Source organism: Homo sapiens, chromosome 4 (assembly GCF_000001405.40).
Source record: "Homo sapiens chromosome 4, GRCh38.p14 Primary Assembly".
Taxonomy (NCBI): Eukaryota; Metazoa; Chordata; class Mammalia; order Primates; family Hominidae; genus Homo; species Homo sapiens.
The window spans coordinates 160,010,485-160,029,023 of NC_000004.12; the positions used below are offsets into that span (position 1 = coordinate 160,010,485).

An 18,539-nucleotide genomic window follows, 5' to 3' on the forward strand; every position below is an offset into this window, starting at 1 on the left:
ACATGGTATAACCTCAAAAACAGTGGTCAATACTATTATAATTCATATTACCTTGTCAAGTTCTAGGAGAGGAAGAGGGTCACATGAAAAGCCCATGAGGACCTTTTGAGGCCATGATTATACCAGGGAACTGAGAGGCTCTGAGGGCCCCTCAGGGAGATGGACCCATAGAGGCTCCACCATGCTAGCGATGCTGGCCCTGTCTGTTGGAGTTAGAGATGTTGGAACTGCATCAAGCTGCCTCAGGCATTCAGATGAATGCCTCTGTGAAGTTACATCTCCATATTGGAAGCAGCAGAGTCAGAATTGAAGAGTCCTGAGCGAAGCCTGGGAGAATTGCCACTATGAAGCCTGAAGTGCGACCTCCCTGATGCCCCACCCCTGGAAGCAGCCCTGCCCCCAGAGTGCTGGGGTGAACCTGCCTCCCAGAGGTTCCTCCAATGCTTTCATTGCCACCAAAGTTTATTGAGCACCAACTATATGCTAAGCCCAGAAGCTGGGGATGGAGCAGGTGGTTGGATAGTTGTGATCTTTTTCCTCAGGGAAGATGATTGACTAAACTAAAAGTTAAAAATGAAATGTGCTGTGACAGGGGAAGTAAGGGTATCTATCCTCTTTTGGTAGGGTCGAAATAGACCCAAGGATTGGTGGGATGCAGTATTTGTTGATGAAAAGTTGCTTTCATCTGATGGCTTTAGGAGTACATACAGAATGATCAATGGAATAGAGTTCCTGACAAGATTGAAAACTGGCATGTTGAGGACAGAAGTTAGGAGGACTGGAGGTTGAGGTCAGGAGATGGGATATCAAACTGACTTATTCAGAAGACAGAGCTGCCCTGTGATAAGGTCTAGGTTGTGGCTATAGCCAGGAATGGAGATAAAGAACTCTGAGATAAGGAGACCTGGCAAAATGCTATCCAACAGAAATATAAAAAGCATAAAATATTTGCAAACGATCTATCTGAAAATACGTTAATAACCAGTATACATAAGGAGCTCAAACAACTCTATAATAAAAAAAATAATCCGGCTGGGCATGGTGGCTCATGCCTGTAATCCCAGCACTTTGGGAGGCCAAGGCAGGTGGATCACCCAAGGTCAGGAGTTCGAGACCAGCCTGGCCAACATGGTGAAACCTTGTCTCTACTAAAAATACAAAAATGAGCCAGGCGTGGTGGCAGTTGCCTGTAATCCCAGCTACTCGGGAGGCTGAGGCAGGAGAATCTCTTGAACCTGGGAGGTGGAGGTTGCAGTGAGCCGAGATCACACCATTGCACTCCAGCCTGGGGGACAAGACCGAGACTTTGTCTAGAAAAAGAAAAGAAGTAATCCAATTAAAATAACAAAAGATTTGAATAGACATTTCTCAAAAAAGACATACAAATGCCAAACAGGTATACAAAAAGGTGCTCAACATCATTCATTGATCATAAAAAAATGCAAATGTAAACTACAATGAGATATCATCTCACCCTAAATAAAATGGTTTTTATTCAAAAGTTGGGCAATCACAAATGCTGATGAGGATGTGGAGAAAAGGGAACCCTCTATACTGCTGGTGGGAATATAAATTAGCACAACCACTGTAGAGAATAGTTTGGAGAGTCCTCAAAAAACTAAAAATAGAACTACTATATGATCCAGCAATTCTACTGTTAGAGATATACCTACCCCAAAGAAGGGAAATCAGTATATCAAAGAGATACCTGTACCCCCATGTGAATTGCAGTGCTATTCACAATAGCCAAACTTTGGAAGCAACCTAAGTGTCCATCAACAGACAATGGATAAAGAAAATGTACATATATACACAATGGAGTATACTAAGAAAAAAGAATAATATCCTGTCATTTTCAACAACATGGATGGAACTGGAGGTCATTATGTTAAGTGAAATAAGCCAGGCACAGAAAGACAAACTGCATGTTCTCACTTATTTGTGAGACCTAAAGATTAAAATAATTGAACTCACGGAGATAGAGAATAGAATGGGAGTTACCAGAGACTGGGAAGAGTAGTGGGGTGGGGGAGTGGGGATGGATTTAGGGCACAAAAATCTTATTTATATAAGACCCGGTATTTGCTAGCACAGTAGAGTGACTACAGTCAGCAATAATTTATTAGACATTTAAGAATAACTAACAGTATAACTGGGATGTTTGTAACATGAAGAAATAAGTGTTTGAAATGATTAATACTCCATTTACCCTGATGTGATTGTTACACATTGTATGTCTATATCAAAATATCTGTATAAATATATACATAAATATATACACAGACTATGTACTCATAAAAATTAGAAATAAACAGATTAATATAACATAAACCACATAATTGGCTACATATATAATTTTTAATTTTCAAGTAGTAACACTTGAAAATATAAGAAACAAATAGGTAAAATTCATTTTTAATATTGCTTTCAACTGCATTTAATATATTGAAAATACGATTTCAAAATGTATTCAACATGAGAATATTAATGATATATTTAACATTACATTTTCATACTAAGTTTTCACTATCCAGTGTGTACTTTATAACACTTCAATCAGAATAGCCACAAATCAATTGCCATAGCTCCAATGAAATCACTTGGGGATGAAATTATGAGACTTTAGAAGCCAAGCTAATTGAGGCAGGCAAGGGGCACTGCAAGGGGTCTGTATCCTTCTTTCAAATTTGAGTTTTCGCTTACTATCAAGCCACTCTCTTGACCATGATTGGCCTTAATTTTGGGCAACCAACTCTCTTGGTTGTGAGAGGTATACCTCATCATGGTTGAAATCCCACTTTTGCTTTTGGGATTTTTCTCACCATAATGACTCTCATAAAGTCCCCAATTGTGGTTTGATGATCAGACCCTTTGGTATTGACCATCTCTTTGGGGTCTCTGGCTTTGTAGAATTTCTGAATTCATCTTCACGTTTCTTTTCCTAAAGTAGAAACTAAACTTAGACAATATCCCTTTTTCCAGTGTGCTCCTTCTCTCTGGGACATGTCTCCCCTCTGTTCTCTGATTCTGAGTGTTGCTCCTTTATTGGATACAAGAGTCTTTGGGCGGTTCCATTCTCAAACCTCTGCTCATTTCTGCATTGCTCAACTTGTAGTCACCTCTAAGCTGTCACCATTAGCTCCACATAAAGTTCCACTCCTCTAGATTTATTTTTCTATGATGCTGAAGGTGACAAGCTGAAAATTCTGTCTGCTCACCTCCCAGCTTGGGACCCTTTGTGAATCAATATCAGAGGGACACCTTCTCAAGATCCTCTGGCCTTCCTTACAACAGATGGGATAGGCAGAGGGTTATTGAGTGTGGAGCCTGATGTGTGTGTGTGTGTGTGTGTGTGTGTGTGTGTGTGTGTGTGTGTTGTTTCCCTGCTTGCCTAAGCATTTCCACCAAAAGCTTGGCAACCTCAGCTCTGGCATCAGCTCCCAAAACGAGGGAAGTTGAGCAGAAAAAGGCAGACTAAGGTGGAAGTCACAACTGTGCTTCTCATGCCTTAAGTACCTTCGTGGATTCAATAAATTTGAGGGGTGGTCCTTACCTTTTCCACACCCAAAACTAAATACTGTTAGTGTTTGGCACAGATTGATGATTTGGATCAAGGAAGGATATTCAGGTGGTGTTCCCAAACCAATAAGGGTGCTAGTTTCTGGTGTCTCAAAACACATAATATTATTCAGGAGGCAATGTTGGGAGCAAGCCATGTATATGGCATACTTGTAGGTATCTAATCCTGGCATATCTGTTTTAACTTCTCATCCAGTTATAACTTTATTGTATTGTTTTAATTGCTTCTGGTCTAGTTTTTCCCTTGAGCTCCCAAAAATGTCATTTCCAAGTCATTCTCTTAGTGATGTTCTGCTTGTCAGCAAGTAATGTTTGGGATTTAAGGAAAAATTTTATTTAGTAGCCTGACCTCAGCTGTTTTGGAACTGATTCCTCCTTGTTTTTCTTTCTCCACTCAAACCTGGAAATTCACTGTCTTTGTGATTATATCCCTAATGCACTTGGAAATCAGACAGCCCTCTGTTGGATGGAGGGTACAAAGCTCATGTTGAAAGTCACAGTAAGAGATGGTGGGAGAAAAAAGACCTTGGCAGACACCTGCCCTCCAGGAGAAGGCTGACATGCACAAGCATGAGCAGTCAACATCTGAGACTGTTGAAGCGGAAGAGGCAAATTAACAGGAGTTATCTAGACATGAACTCTTTGGGACAGTGTTTGGTAAAATTGGAATCAGGTCAGATGTAGTCAGAGTTAAAGGTGGAATCTGGTGTTGGTAGAGTAGAGATTTTTCCTGATGGGAGATTACTGGAAAGTGAGTGGGTGAGACATGTGGCATGTGTCAAAGTTACTGAGAGGATGATAACCTGAGACTGGGTGGAGTCACAGGAGCAGGTGGGGACCTGTGACAAAGTGAAGACTGTGGAGAAGGCATGCCACAGCATCAGAAAGATCCCTGGTGGCAAAGATGTGAAAGCTAGTGGCAGGCGTGAAAGAAAAATACTAAGAAATGCTAAGAGTCTCATTTGTGTATTCAAAGGGCTCAGACAGAGGTAAGTCACCGGACTCTGTAAAATCCAGTGAGGGGTTGAAGACAAGAAACAGTGAGGGCTCCAAGAGAGGGAGGGGCCGTTAACTGGCTTTCTAGGGTATTTGTTGAGAGGAACTGGCCAGAGTTAGAGATGAATTAGAGCTTCCATGTAAGCCAAAGGGAGCATAGAAGGAGGAGCATCTTCCACAGGATCCATAAGCAGCAGGAGGTCAGTTTCAGCAGACGTTACCATTTACCTCACATCAGAGATCTTGCTGCAGGAGTTGCAGAAAGTTGCCCTAATCAGGAAGCATGCCTACATGGCTGTAGGAGACAGGAGGAGCAAAATGCCATCAGGAGCAGAGCAGGGACAGAAGGGCCTGGAAGGATGAGAAGGCGTCAGATTCCCTCATCCCCCATACTTTACACCACTCCCTCCCTGAAGTAAACTTCAGACATTCATTATTCACAAGTATGAATTTTTATTTGGAAAATAAGGGAGTTCTGTGCTCCTTCATTTTAATAATTTTTAAAGAGGATAAAAATATCTATATTTTGCCTTCCTTAAAAAATTTAAATAAGTGTTTTCTGCATTTGATCCTCATTTTCTTCAGTCATTTGTCCTCTTCTGCAGACTTTTACCACTGCAGGTGCATACATGCTCCAATAGATAGGATTTGCTCCATGAGACAGGAGTTTGGGCTCTAGCATTTGGTCAGGGGCTTTCAAAGATTCAGCATTGCTCTCCAGATTAGACTTAATACAAAGGAAAGTCACATCACAGATGCACCTGTTGCAGGTGTCTGATCTCTTAATAATCCAATCCGTGGCCAGGCCACTGAAATGCTGGCCAACATATGTTTGTGGATCCAAAAACTTGAGGATTAGACCTTTACCATACTCCAAACTGAATAATGTTAGTGTTTAGCACAAGTTGATGAGCTGGATTGAGGAAGAATATGCAGGTGGTGTTCCCAAACCAAGAAGTGTGCTATGTTTCTGCTGTCTCCAAAACATATGGTTCGAAAGCAGTGTGCTGTGGGGAGCAAGCCATGTATGAGACACACTTTTAGGTATCCAATGCTGGCATATCTGCCTTAACTTGTGTGACTTAAGTTGTGTCCAACTACTGACACACTCTGAGATTTTGCTACCATGAGCTCTGTAACACTCAGATACATAGTCTGTGAGCTTCTGAGATAAACCATAGTTCCCACTCTACCATCTACCCTGCCCAAGTTGTTTCCCCAAGATGATGTTCTATTCTCTTCTGAGAGTTCCCATCTTCAGTACTGACTTCTGCCAATATGATTGAGTTACAAAAATGGGAAGAGCAACATTAATAAAACAAAGTCAATCTTTCTGAGTGTATTAATCAGGGCTCTTGAGATAGAACAAATACGATGTGTAGATGGATAGATAGGTAGATAGAGTTTTATTTTAAGGAATTGGCTCATGGAATTGTGGGCACTGGCCAGCCTGATATTTTCAAGGCACGCTGGCATTTCAGATACTGGAGACCCAGGGAAGAGTTACTATTGCAGTCTTGAGTCTAAAGGCAGCCTGGTGACAGATGTTTTTTCCCTTGGGACCTCAGTCTTCCATCCGCAGGCTTTTAATTGATTAGATGAGGACCACTCACATCATGGGGGGTGATCTACTTTACTCAAAATCTACTGATTTAGTTACATCTGAAAAATAGCTTCACAGAAACATCTAGACTGGTATTTGACCACAAACTGGATATTATGGCCTAGCCACGTTGACACAACTTTAATCATCACACTAGGGTTTTCTTACCTGATTTCTGTCTCTATTTTCCCCCAATATTGGTAAAGCTAAACTTTTCTGTAGATAGTAGAGTAAGAGAAAGAAGATCCCCCCTCTAAACAGGAAGCAAAAGTTAGAATCATTTTCTCATGAAGTGAAGCTAGACGTCAACCATAGTAGATTAAGTTTCTTCAGGAAAAAAGAGATAGTTCTCTATTATCTGAAGTGCACTGCTCCTTTTAACAACTGAAAATGCAAGCTCTGGACTGGAGTTCCAGGCCTCATCACAGAGTTACAGGACATTTACAAAGGGTTCTTGAAGTTCAGGGTGGGTATAAAAAGAGGCATAATCCCTTATGCCACCAGCCAGTTTAGCTGATCCTTCTACTACTTCTGAGCCTTCTAGATCCTTCCACCTTTCTATGGGCCTCCCTATTTTCCAGTTGCATTTTTTTCATTACATCATATAAAGGCCTTCTGTAATTTATTTTTTATTCAGCCCAATGCTAGGTATTTCTCAGTGTTTCTTCCTCTCCTCTAGCAGTAGGGCATATCGAGTGCCTAGGCCAGGGACAGTTTCTTACCCCTCTGCCAGGAGTAGGGTATGGCTCCCCTTTCCCAACAATAATGTGTGTCCATCTGTGCTGTAAGAGTGAAGGGTTTTGCTGTCATTCTACCAGTGAGTTAATGCTCTTAATCTTTAGGGGAAAATGGTCTAAGCAACCTGGAATGTCAGGGTAGTTTTCTTGAAGGAACTACTAATGCCTGAACTGGGTCTGGAAAGACAGTTAAGCAATATCCCAGAGGAAAAAAAAAAGTATAAAGGGAATTTCAGAGAGAGAAAAAGCATTATGAGCAAAGACATGAAAGCACTGAGTAGCATGAGAGATTCAGGAGTAATAACAAGCATTTCTCTATTTTGGAACAGAAAATACACAGCAGAGAGTAATTTCAGGAGAATGTTGAAGTAGAGAGAGAGATGAGAGATGACCTAGTGACAGGACTTTTATACTGTTAGAAAATATAGGCTTGATTTGGTTGGCAATAGACAGTCACTGAGGGTTTAAAAGAGGTAAGTGCCACGGTCATTTTTGTTTTAGGTAGATTTCTCCAATAGTAATAAATACAATTGAAGAGGGGCAAAATTGAAGTAACACATCAGTTAGCAGGTTACTGCATGGTTTTCGAAGAGAGACAATGCAGGCTTGAAATACTATGGTGGCAGTACAAATTGAAAGAAGAGACATATTTGGGAAGTATTTAGGAGGTAAAATTTTAAAAAGAAATCTTGGCAACGGACTCATTTTGGGAAAGTTGAAGAGATAGGAAGGGTGGCTTTTCTGTTTGTTGCTTGACTGAGTGCTACTAATTAAGAGCAAAGCCAGCTAGTGGCAGGGTGTTATATTTGGAAGTTGTTATGGTTGGAGTCCCTGTTGGAAATTGAAGTTGGAAATGTTCAGAAAGCAATTGGATTGATGAGTTTGGGCTTAAAAAAAAAAGCAGGCATTAAAGTAATTAACTCATCTAAAGTCACTTAAGAAGACTGTAGAAGGAACAGTGTAGTGGCTGAAGGGCAGAATTCTGGTGACTGGAGTTTCTATATAGTACAGTATCTGACATACAGTAGGCTCTCAATAAATCATGAATATGTCCATACTTGAGTTTGTGAAGGCAGTTGTCTGAGACTTTCTGCTCTATTTGCAGAAAAGCTTGCAGCCCAAACCTCAGGTGATTGGGCCTCTCAGGGGTGCTCACAAAGCAAGGTCACTCACCAATTCCAAGTAGCAATGGCATCAGGGCACCATGCAGTGTCTTTACCCCTTCTCCTGTACATAGCTCTTGTTCATGCCACTCCTTACAACAGCACTATTGGGTAGATATTAACACATTTTTTTTTTCTTGAGACAGAGTCTCACTCTGTCACCCAGGCTGGAGTGCAGTGGCGCGATCTCGGCTCACTGCAAGCTCTGCCTCCGGGGTTCATGCCATTCTCCTGCCTCAGCCTCCTGAGTAGCTGGGACTACAGGCGCCAGCCACCATGCCTGGCTAATTTTTTGTATTTTTAGTGGAGACGGGTTTTCACCGTGTTAGCCAGGATGGTCTCTATCTGCTGACCTCATGATCCGCCTGCCTCGGCCTCCAAAAGTGCTGGGATTACAGGTGTGAGCCACCGTGCCTGGCCCAACACATCTTTTTATAGCTGAGATCTGGGACTCAGATTCAGTGTCTCATCCAAGGCCTGACAGCCAGTGCCCTGTGCAGCTTCAATAAACAGAAATTATGATGGTGGTGACAGTGGTGATCTCCATTGACTCTAGACAGACAAGGTGGCTCCCATTTCCAGCAGGCTCAGCTTTGTGTGTTGCTTCTGAGGATCTTCAGTATCTGCAGCCAGACACCAGGCCTGGAGAATTCAAGGCATTTCTCCAGCTAGTAACTCTCAGAGACCTCAGCATGACCCCTGAATGTCTGACAGAAAGTCACTCAAAGCATCAACAATTTCTACCAGAACCTCCTCTGTGAGAATAAATCAATAACTTTTGTTTCGCAGTGGCAATAGAGATTACATTTGCCATCCTGAGGAGAAGCCTGGGTAACTAGTGGGGCAGCTCCTCAGCCTCACCCCTAGACACGGCCCTGCCCCTACAGAGCACTGGGTGGGTCCTCTCTACTAGGGATCTCTGCCACGGCTCATTCATTCTCACAAAGGATTTTGGAAGCCATAGATGTTGGAAAAAGAGCAGTAAGATGGATAGACCTGGTCCCTGTCTGAAAGGAAGAGACAGATAAGCCAAAATTACAACACTGTGAGAAAATTACTGTGATGGGGAAGTGAGAGACGTATCCTAGCTTGGGAGCATCCAGGGAGAGAGAGAGAGACAGAATGAGAAAGAGACAGAGAGAGAGAGAGAGAGAGAGAGAGAGACTGAGATTGCCATTTGAGGCTTCAGTTCTCCTGTGAAGTGGCAGTCAAGCACATCTGCTGAGTAGGTGTAGGCCAGAAGTTTAAGGAAAGTAAAGGAGGTTTGGAATAGCGTTGAGAAGGATGTGAGTGTTAATGTTGGCTAAGGAGACAATGATATCAACTCCACAGTGACTAGCACTTAGTAGTCACTCAATAAATGTACATATACACAAATATACATAGAATGAATGAATAAATACATTTCAAATGGTATTGCTGTGATTATTAGTTGTAGACTCATTTGTATGATTTTATCTGATAGGAGTGAACCACTTAATTAGAGGGAGTGTCTAAAAAAGGCAGAGAGTTGGGATTTTGCCAGGCAGGGATGATGAAAGAAAAGTAGGTGGGGATATTTAGGATGATACTTAAGTAATAGATTATGACGTTTACTGTGAAGAAGGAGGAAGTGAAAGCAAAAAGTTGTGAATGGAAAGGTCAATGGACTGGCAGTCCTGGGAATGTTAGTGAACTGGCATGTGAAGGCATAAGCTAGAAGGGTTGGAAGTTGAAGTCCATGATGCGATGTCAGACTGTTATTCAGAAGGAAGAATTATCCCTTGTCATAGGTCTAGGTTGTCTATTGGAATGGAGGTAAATGAATTTGAAATGAGAAAGCCTAAGAATTGAGAAGTCAGCTTCTTGGATAGTCCATCCATAGATCTAGGGGTATACCAGATATTTTTTCCTCTTTGAGATCCTTCCCCTGGGCCCTATCCCACCACTACCCTACCATCCAGACTCACTAAAAGTACCTGAATTCAGATGTGACAGCAAACTTAAGCACCTGAAGGGGCCATGGTATGGCTCAATGCCAGGTATTGAGCTATGAGACAGAGTTGTAGTGGACATTTTTGGTTTTATTTATTTTATCACCTGTCATTCATTCATTTTATGTTAACTGTACCTCTCTTGCCTTGTGGGGAAACCAATCCCATTTTTCAGTCTTGATCCATACATGCTCATGGAGTTGTCATCCCTCCATCTGGAATCTCCCTCTAGAAGTCTCCTGTGTCTGGGTCTAGCTAAAAGAAGATTTCACTCAACTTGTCACAATGACTATTTCATCATCCAATTGGTGGCACCTGCAGGGACTGTTGTGCGGAAGCACTACATTTTCTGAACACTGAATCCTGGCAGGATATGTCTTTCAATTTGCTATCAGTCATCCAGCCACTACCTAAGGACTAAGAATGAAGTCAGCACAGAAGAAAGAGCCAAAATGTGAAAATGAAACTAAATTTTGATGACATCTATTGAAGCCCTGCATCAACACTGCTGCTGGAAGCAAACTCTGCTCCTAGATATTTCCGTTATATGAGTCAATACTTTCCCTTATAATTGCCTACGATACAAGAATCTTCTCTATCACTGGCTCCATTGTCTGTGTTTATCCACTAAACATTTATTAGCTTTCCTGTACCTCAGTAGGTATAAATGGTACCTTTTTTGAAGAGTGGTAAAAATTAAATAAGATAATAAATGTAAAATCATAAATTTGCTCTACAGCAATGAAGTTCACAAAGAAGTCACCATTTACCAGGGTGGGAATAAAACCATTCAGTTATCATGGCAGCTCATTCTTCTATTTAGTGTAAAAAATTGTAAAACTTAACAAATTGCTTATAAAGGAGTCTTGGGTATTCAGTTCCTTATGGCTGTCTATAGGATGCCATGACTACATGGTCCACCCAAAGACAGGTGGCTCCACAGCCTCCATGCCATATATGGGCAGTGTCATCTTTTAATGAATCAAGACTTCGTGCTTGATTTAGCTCTCAGCAAATACATTCACTCATCAAATCAACTCCAACTCTCTTCACATATAAACGTGCCAGTAAGAAACCTGTCACAATATTCTGTTTTTCAAATCCCTGATACCACTAATACCCTTCGGCAAGTCCCCTTCTTTCAACCTACCATATCCCCCCACATCATCCCCATTTTATACATACTTAGGTAAATAGTCATCTCCCAGAAAAATCTGGATAGAGTTGTAGAACCGAGGCCTAACAAGTTCAGTTTAGGCTAGGACATAAGCAATTAATAACTTCTGAGAACAGAAGCACAGAGTTTTGTTGAAGAGAGGAGGGCAAAATTACCTTCATTCTTTTGGGAGTAGACTTTGGCAAGGAGTAGGAGATAGCAATTAATAGCTTGATAAATTTTCCTGCCATAAATGTAAATTACCTGGCACAGAGTGTATAGGTAGAGCAGGAATACCTCATCCACTTATAGTCAGCCCAACCTCTTTCCCGCAGCAAAGCATTGCTATGCCTCCTAAATTTGTGTGATAATCAACCTCTTCCTAGGGCCTCAGATCCTGAGTCCAGAGAAAGGAATGTGGAGGCAGCTACTTTAAGACCCTACACTGCCACTTGTCCTTTCTAGTGAAACTCAAACATGTTCTTGTTACCCTGGGAAATTTACAGCATAATTTGGGTTCTAGTTTTCAAGGGTATTGAAAAATCTAGATGAGAGATCAAGGAGTCCTTAACCTTGGACTCTGACCAAAATATTCAGATTCTGGCTAATTTCTCAATTCTAGGTCCTGCCATGGGGGCTGCCTCCAGGAATCTGAGCCTCTTAGACCTAACCAAGCTCCAGGGAGAATTTTTTTTATCCTGTTTCTGGCCTCTGGGATGCTTATGCCTTCTCCATCCCTGAGGGCCAGCCCATTTATGCCTTTTGGCTGCTCTGATATTAGGCATATGGTAGAGCATTTGATGTTTTATAGCTCCAAGTAACACAGTTTCCCTTGTATTCAATGTCAATAGCACCTCCAGGAACATACTTCTTAAAATGTAAATTATGTCCTCTGAAGTTGTGCAATGCCTGAGTCCTAGGTGTGGGCAAAAGCATTTGAGCACATTTTAAAGAGAAATAATTCCTCATCTGCATTACCATTATCCAGCTAATGATCTTTGCAGAGCTAGAGCAGGGATTCCTTTCTAAATTGTGCCGCCACCTCGTTTTGGGCAGGTCACTTACTAGCCCCTGTTGTGTCTGCAATCCTGTTTACTTACCTCTTGTGCTATGTGTCTTTGACTTGCTATGTAAACCCAGGACAGTTACTCAGCTCTTTTAAGTTACTATCTCTTCCTCTGTGAGAAGTCTTTGGGCCGTGCATACATGGAAAACCTCCCCTGACTAACACTTTTGTCTTAGTCTTTCTGTCTTTTGCATAACTAAGTCACACTAAATTCCCAGTTGTGAAGATTAGCTAAAATCATGAATGCAGTATATTATTAAGTACATTACTTAGAACAGAAATTAATATTATTCTTTGGGCTCTGTTTCTTGTATAAGCCTGGGCTCTTTGCAGAAGCTAAGGGTTGCTTCCCCATGACATTTTTCTAACAGGTAGGGCAAAGTGAAGAGATAAGTGTACAGCCAGGTTGAGCCACACTACCCTATCTTCTCCCATCTAGGCTTGAAGATTGGTAGTGGTACATCAAGTGGGTCCAGTGGCACCTGTTCATCCTGTTCATGTCATCTTTCTTTCTTTGGTGGCTTCAATTCCTTTAATTTTTTTTTTTTTTTTGCCGTCAGCTGCTCCATTTGACCCTTCAATAGCTTTGACTCAGACACATACATGTGAATGAGAATAAGAATACATTTGGTACATTTGACTGCTTTTGCTCTAATGGCCTAAGTACCGGTCCAGATGAACCCAAACAACTGTCCTGTTGCATAGGTACAGGGACCACCTTTGATGCATAAACTGAGAGTCCCTGGAAGAGATCCACAAGGTACACAAAGATCACAAGGCAGACCATCAAACTGATTTTAAAAAACTGCACTGAAGCCAAGATCCTGCACATTATCATCAAGCATGGCTCACAGAAAGAAGGAACAATGACCACATTCGCCAAAAGGGTATCTCCATAGACAAGCTCTGTGAACACATCTGCCACCAAAACATTCTACGTTGCTCTGATTAGCCTCAAGAAAGTGGGACCTAAGTGGGGTATGGTTTGCTCTTGCTTTTCTCGTTCTTTAAGATGCATCATTAGGTTGTTTATTTGAATTTTTTCTTCTTTTTTTGATGTAGGCACTCACGCCTGTAATCCCAGCACTTTGGGAGGCTGAGGCGGGCAGATCACCTAGGTCAGGAGTTTGAGACCAGCCTGGCCAACATGGTGAAACTCCATCTCTACTAAAAATACAAAAGTTAGCCAGGCATGGCGGTGCACGCTTGTAATCCCAGCTACTCTGGAGGCTGAGGCAGGAGAATTGCTTGAACCTGCGAGGGAGGCGGAGGTTGCAGTGAACCAAGATTGTTCCACTGCACTCCAGCCTGGGTGGCAAGCAAAACTCAGTCTCAAAGAAAAAAAAAAAGCTGTAAATTTCTCACTTAGTACTGCTTTTGCTATATCCCAAAGGTTTTGGTACATTACGTTTCCATTTTTATTTGTTTCAAGAATTTTTAAATTTCCTTTTTTTTTTTTTTTCATTGAGCCACTGGTCATTCAGAAACATACTGTTTCATTTCTGTGTGCTTATACAGTTTCCAGAATTCCTCATTATTGCTTTCCAGTTTTACTCCATTGTGGTCAGAGAAGATGTTTGATATTAAATTTTTTTGAATGTTCTAAGACTTGTTTTGTGACCTAACATATAGTCCATCCTTGAGAATAATCTATGTGCTGAGGAGAAGAATGTGTATTCTGCAGCAATTGAATGAAATGTTCTGTAAAGATCTATTAGGTCCATTTGTTCTATAGTAGATTAAGTCCAATGTTTCTCTGTTAATTTTCTGCCTGGGAGACCTGTCCAATGCTGAGGGTGGGGTGTCGAAGTCTCCAGCTATTATTGTATTGAGGTCTATCTCTCCCTTTAGCTCTAATAATATTTGCTTTATGTTTCTGGGTGATCCAGGGTTGGGTACATGCATATTTATAATCATTATATTCTCTTTCTGAATTCACCCCTTTATCATTATTTAATGACCTTCTTTGTCTCTTCTTAACAGTGTTTGTCTTGAAATCTATTTTGTCTGATGTAAGTATAGCTACTCTTTGTCTTTGATGGTTTCTAAGGTTATGGAATATCTTCTTTCATCCCTTTATTTTCAGTCTTTATAGGTGAAGTGAGCTTCTTGTAGGCAACAAACAATTGCATTGTGTTTTTTCATCCATTCATCTTTGCTATGTCTTTTTATTTGAGAATATAGTCAATTTACAATCAATGTTATTATTGATAAGTAGGGACTTATTTCTGCCATTTTGTTATTTGTTTTCTGTTTTTTTTTTTTTTGTGGTCATCTCATCATCTTTCTATTTGAGTCATTTACACACCACAATTCCACATTATAATCTTCTGTGTTTCTCTGTGTACTTACTATTACCAGTGAATTTTACATCTTCAGATGATTTCTTCTACTCATTAACATCGTTTTCTGTCAGATTGAAGAACTCTCTTTAGCATTTCTTGTAGGACAGGTCTGGTGTTGATGAAATCCCTAAGCTTTTGTTTGCCTGGGAAAGTCTTTATTTCTCCTTCATGTTTGAAGGATATTTTCACTGGATATACTATTCTAGGGTAAAAGTTCTTTTCCTTCAGTACTTTAAATATGTCATGCAACTGTCTCCTGGCCTGTAAGGTTTCCACCAAAAAGTCTGCTGCTAGATATATTTGAGTACCATTTTATGTTAGTTGTTTCTTTTCTCTTGCTGCTTTTAGGATCATTTCTTTATCATTGATTATTTCAAGTTTCATTGTGAAACGCTTCAAGGCATTTAATAATAAATCAGTCTTCCTTGGGTTAAATTTTCTTGGTGTACTATAACCTTCTTGTACTTGAATACTGATGTTTTTCTCCAGGTTTGGGACGTTCTCTGATACTATTCCTTTGAGTAAATTTTCAACCCCTATCTCTCTCTCTACCTCCACTTTAAGGCAAATACTCTCAGATTTGATTTTTTGAGGCTCTTTTCTTTTCTTTCGAGATAGGGTCTAGCTCTATTTATCAGGCTGGAGTGTAGTGGCAGGATCATGACTCACTGACTCACTGCAACCTCCGCCTCCCAGGCTCAAGACATTCTCCCATCTTAGTCTCCTGAGTAGCTTGGGTTACAGACATGCATCACCACACCTGGCTAATTTTTGTGTAAATTTGTGTAATTTTTTTGTGTATATATATATATACACACATACACACAAATTTATATTTATATATATATGTGTGTGTATATATATACATACACACACACACACACACACAGACACACATACAAAAATTAGCCAGGTGTGGTAATGCATGTCTGTAGAATATATATGTATATTCTATTTTTTTGGTAGAGATGGGGTTTTGTCATTTTGCCCAGTTGCCCAGGCTGGTCTTGAACTCCTGGGCTCAATAAATCTGTCCTCCTTGGCCTCCTAACATGCTAGGATTACAGGCAAAGATCTGTATTCAAGATTTAATTCTAGATTTTGTAGATATCCTTCATTATTTGTTTTTCTCTTTTGTCTCCTCTGAATATGTATTTTCCAATAGGCTTTCATCAAGTCCACTAGTTATTTCTTCTGCTTGCTCAATTCTGTTATTAATAGACTCTGATGCATTCTGTAGTATGCCAATTGCATTTTTCCACTCTAGAATTTCTGCTCAATTCTTTTTATTATCTCAATCTCTTTGTTAAATTTATCTGAAAGAATTCTGAATTCCTTTTTTGTGTTGTCTTGAATTTCTTTAAGTTTCCTCAAAATAGCTATTTTGAATTCTCTGTCTGAAAGATCACATATCTCTATTTTTCCAATATTGGTCTCTGATGTTTTATTTAGTTCATTTGATGGGGTCACATTTTCTGGATGGTCTTGATGTTGTGGATATTCACTGGTGCCTGGGTATTAAAGAGTTAGGTATTTATTTTAGTCTTCACAATCTGGGCTTGTTTATGCCCATCCTTCTTGGGAACATTTTCCAGGTATTCAAAGAGGCTTGGGCACCAAAGCCAATAACACTGGTTTTTTCAGATTCTTAGAGGTAGCACCTTGGTGATCTTGGATAAGATCTGGAAGAATTATCTGGATTGCCAGGCAGAAACTTTTTTTTTTCTCTTACTTTCTCCTAAACGAATGGAGTCTCTCTCTCTATGCTGAGTCACCTGGAACTGAGGGTGTGGTGATGCAAGCACCCCTGTAGCCACCAGCACTGGGAATGTGCTGAGTCAGACCTGAAGCCAGCACAGCACTGGGTCTCACCCATTGCCTGTTGTAACCACTCCAGCTACCATCTATTTTCACTCAAGGCCCTAGGCTCTACAATCAGCAGGTGGGGAAACCAGCCAGGTTTTTGTCTCCCATTTAGGGTGGCGAGTTCCCCCAAGCCCTGGGTGGGTCCAGGGATGCTGTCTGGGAGCCAGGGATTGGAGTAAAAAATCTTGGAAATTTACCGAATATTTTATTCTACTGCAACTAAGCTGGCACTGAAACAACAATATAAAGCTCTTCCCACTTTTTTCTCTCTTTTCCATAGGCAGAGGAGCCTTTCCCTGTGGCCACCACTGCCTTCAGCCCATAAGGGAGTTTTTCCAGGCTACCTCCGATGATCACTTAAAGCTCAACAGCTCTTCATTCAGCTTGTGGTGAGTGTGCCAGGCCTGGGACCCCCACTTTAGGGCAGTGGGGCTCCTCTCTGGTCCAGGACAGGTCTAGAAATTCTGTCCAAGAGCTTAGGCCTGGACTCAAAGACCCCAAGAGCCTGCTTGTTTCTCTGTCCCACCATGGCCAAGCTGGTACCTAAGATGCAAGACAAAGTTCCCTTTACTTTTTTCTCTGCTTTTCTCAAACAGAAGGCGTCTCTGCCTGTAGCCACCACAGCTGGGAATGTGCTGGGTCACACCTCAATGCAGCATGTCTAAGAGCCCAAGGCCCACAGTATACTACCTGGGTATTACTTCTGCTTATTCAGGGCCCAAGGGTTCTTTAGACAGCAGGTAGTGAACCCTGCCAGGACTGGGTCCTTCTCTTCAAGGCAGAAGGTTCCCCTTTGGCTCAGGGTGTGTCTGGAAATGTCATCCAGGAGCTAAGGCCTGGAACAGGTATCTCATGACGCCGCACAATACCCTATCCTACTGTGGCTGAGATGGTATCCAAGATGTAAGCCCTCTTTGCTCTTCATTCTCCTCACCTTAAGAAGCAAGCTGAGCTGCCTTGGACTCTGGGGAGTGATGGCACAAGCACTGCTTTATCTATTCCATCTGGTGTCTCCCTAGGTCATGTGCAATCCTAATACACTGACTCTGAGTCCAGTTCAGCACTAAGAGTTACCAAGAATTTCAGTCCTTGTGTCCTAGACTGCCTTTCAAGTTTACTTGGAACCCCAAAGCACTTCAGCCTGCTGTGGTGAGGCGTGCTGAGAAACTGAAGTTCAAGCTACTGGGCTGGGTGATTCTTTTCTGGCTAGGTGAGGTCCAAATGCTCCCTCTTGCATGGGGGCTGGCTGAGCCCAGCACGGCTTTGCTCTCTGCTGTGACAGGGCAGCACTGAATTCAATGTAAAGTCCTCCAGTTCTGTGCTCTCCCTCCCCAAGTGCACAGACTCTCTCCCAACAGCATGGCTGCTGCCAGGGGAAATATTAAGAATGGTGTAGGAGATTCAAGACTGTCTGTCTTACTTTCTTCAGTGACATGAAGTTAAAACCAGGTAGTCTCCTTTAGTGACATGAAGTTCAAACCAGCTGGTCTAATTGCTCACCTGATTTTTGATTCTTATGATGGTTCTTTTCTATGTGCAGATAGTTGTTAAAATTTGGTGTTATTGTCAGGATGAAGAGTGTAGACTTCTATTCCACAATCTTGCTCTACCCACTTCCTGCCCCCAGTTGAGATTCTTGCATTTTTGGGTTATAGTTGTATTAAATTTGAAAAAAATGTAGTTATTATTACATCAAATAATTTTGCTATCCTGTCTTCACCCTTCATGGGCTACAAGTTGAAGTATATTAGGTTGCTTGACATTTTCCCAGAGCTCACTTGTGCTCTGTTCATTGAAAATTGTTTCTAAAAATTGGAACCACTTAAAATTCTATCCAAACAATTCTGTAATCAAAGAGAAGATTAAAAAACAAATGGAAGGATGTCAAGAAAATAATAATAACTCAGTATGTATCAGTCTATGGTCAGTACAAATTTACTAAGAAGAAAATAGAATAAAAATAATGAGTTTTATTATATTGGGGTCAGAGAATGGCTTAGAGTTTTAAACTATTTGTATATTTTAGAACTTATTTAATTTTCTGGCCTACAATAC

At 41.1% G+C, this 18,539-nt stretch overlaps 1 long non-coding RNA gene across 1 annotated transcript in view, besides 1 other annotated feature; it reads left to right on the plus strand.

Annotated features, from left to right (window-relative positions):
* LOC107986324 (uncharacterized) overlaps positions 1-16,982 on the plus strand; it is a 487,144-nt gene extending 470,162 nt beyond the window's left edge. The window contains exon 3 of the long non-coding RNA XR_001741911.2: positions 16,765-16,982. This is a non-coding gene — a long non-coding RNA (uncharacterized LOC107986324). The remainder of the gene's footprint in view (positions 1-16,764) is intronic.
* Positions 16,004-17,203: an enhancer, noted in NCBI's record as "MED14-independent group 3 enhancer chr4:160947640-160948839 (GRCh37/hg19 assembly coordinates)". NCBI's record gives its function as "activates an origin of replication core promoter dependent on BRD2, BRD4, P300/CBP and CDK7 cofactors, and independent of MED14, by STARR-seq in HCT116 cells {active_cell/tissue: HCT116}" and the evidence as "EXISTENCE:reporter gene assay evidence [ECO:0000049][PMID:35650434]".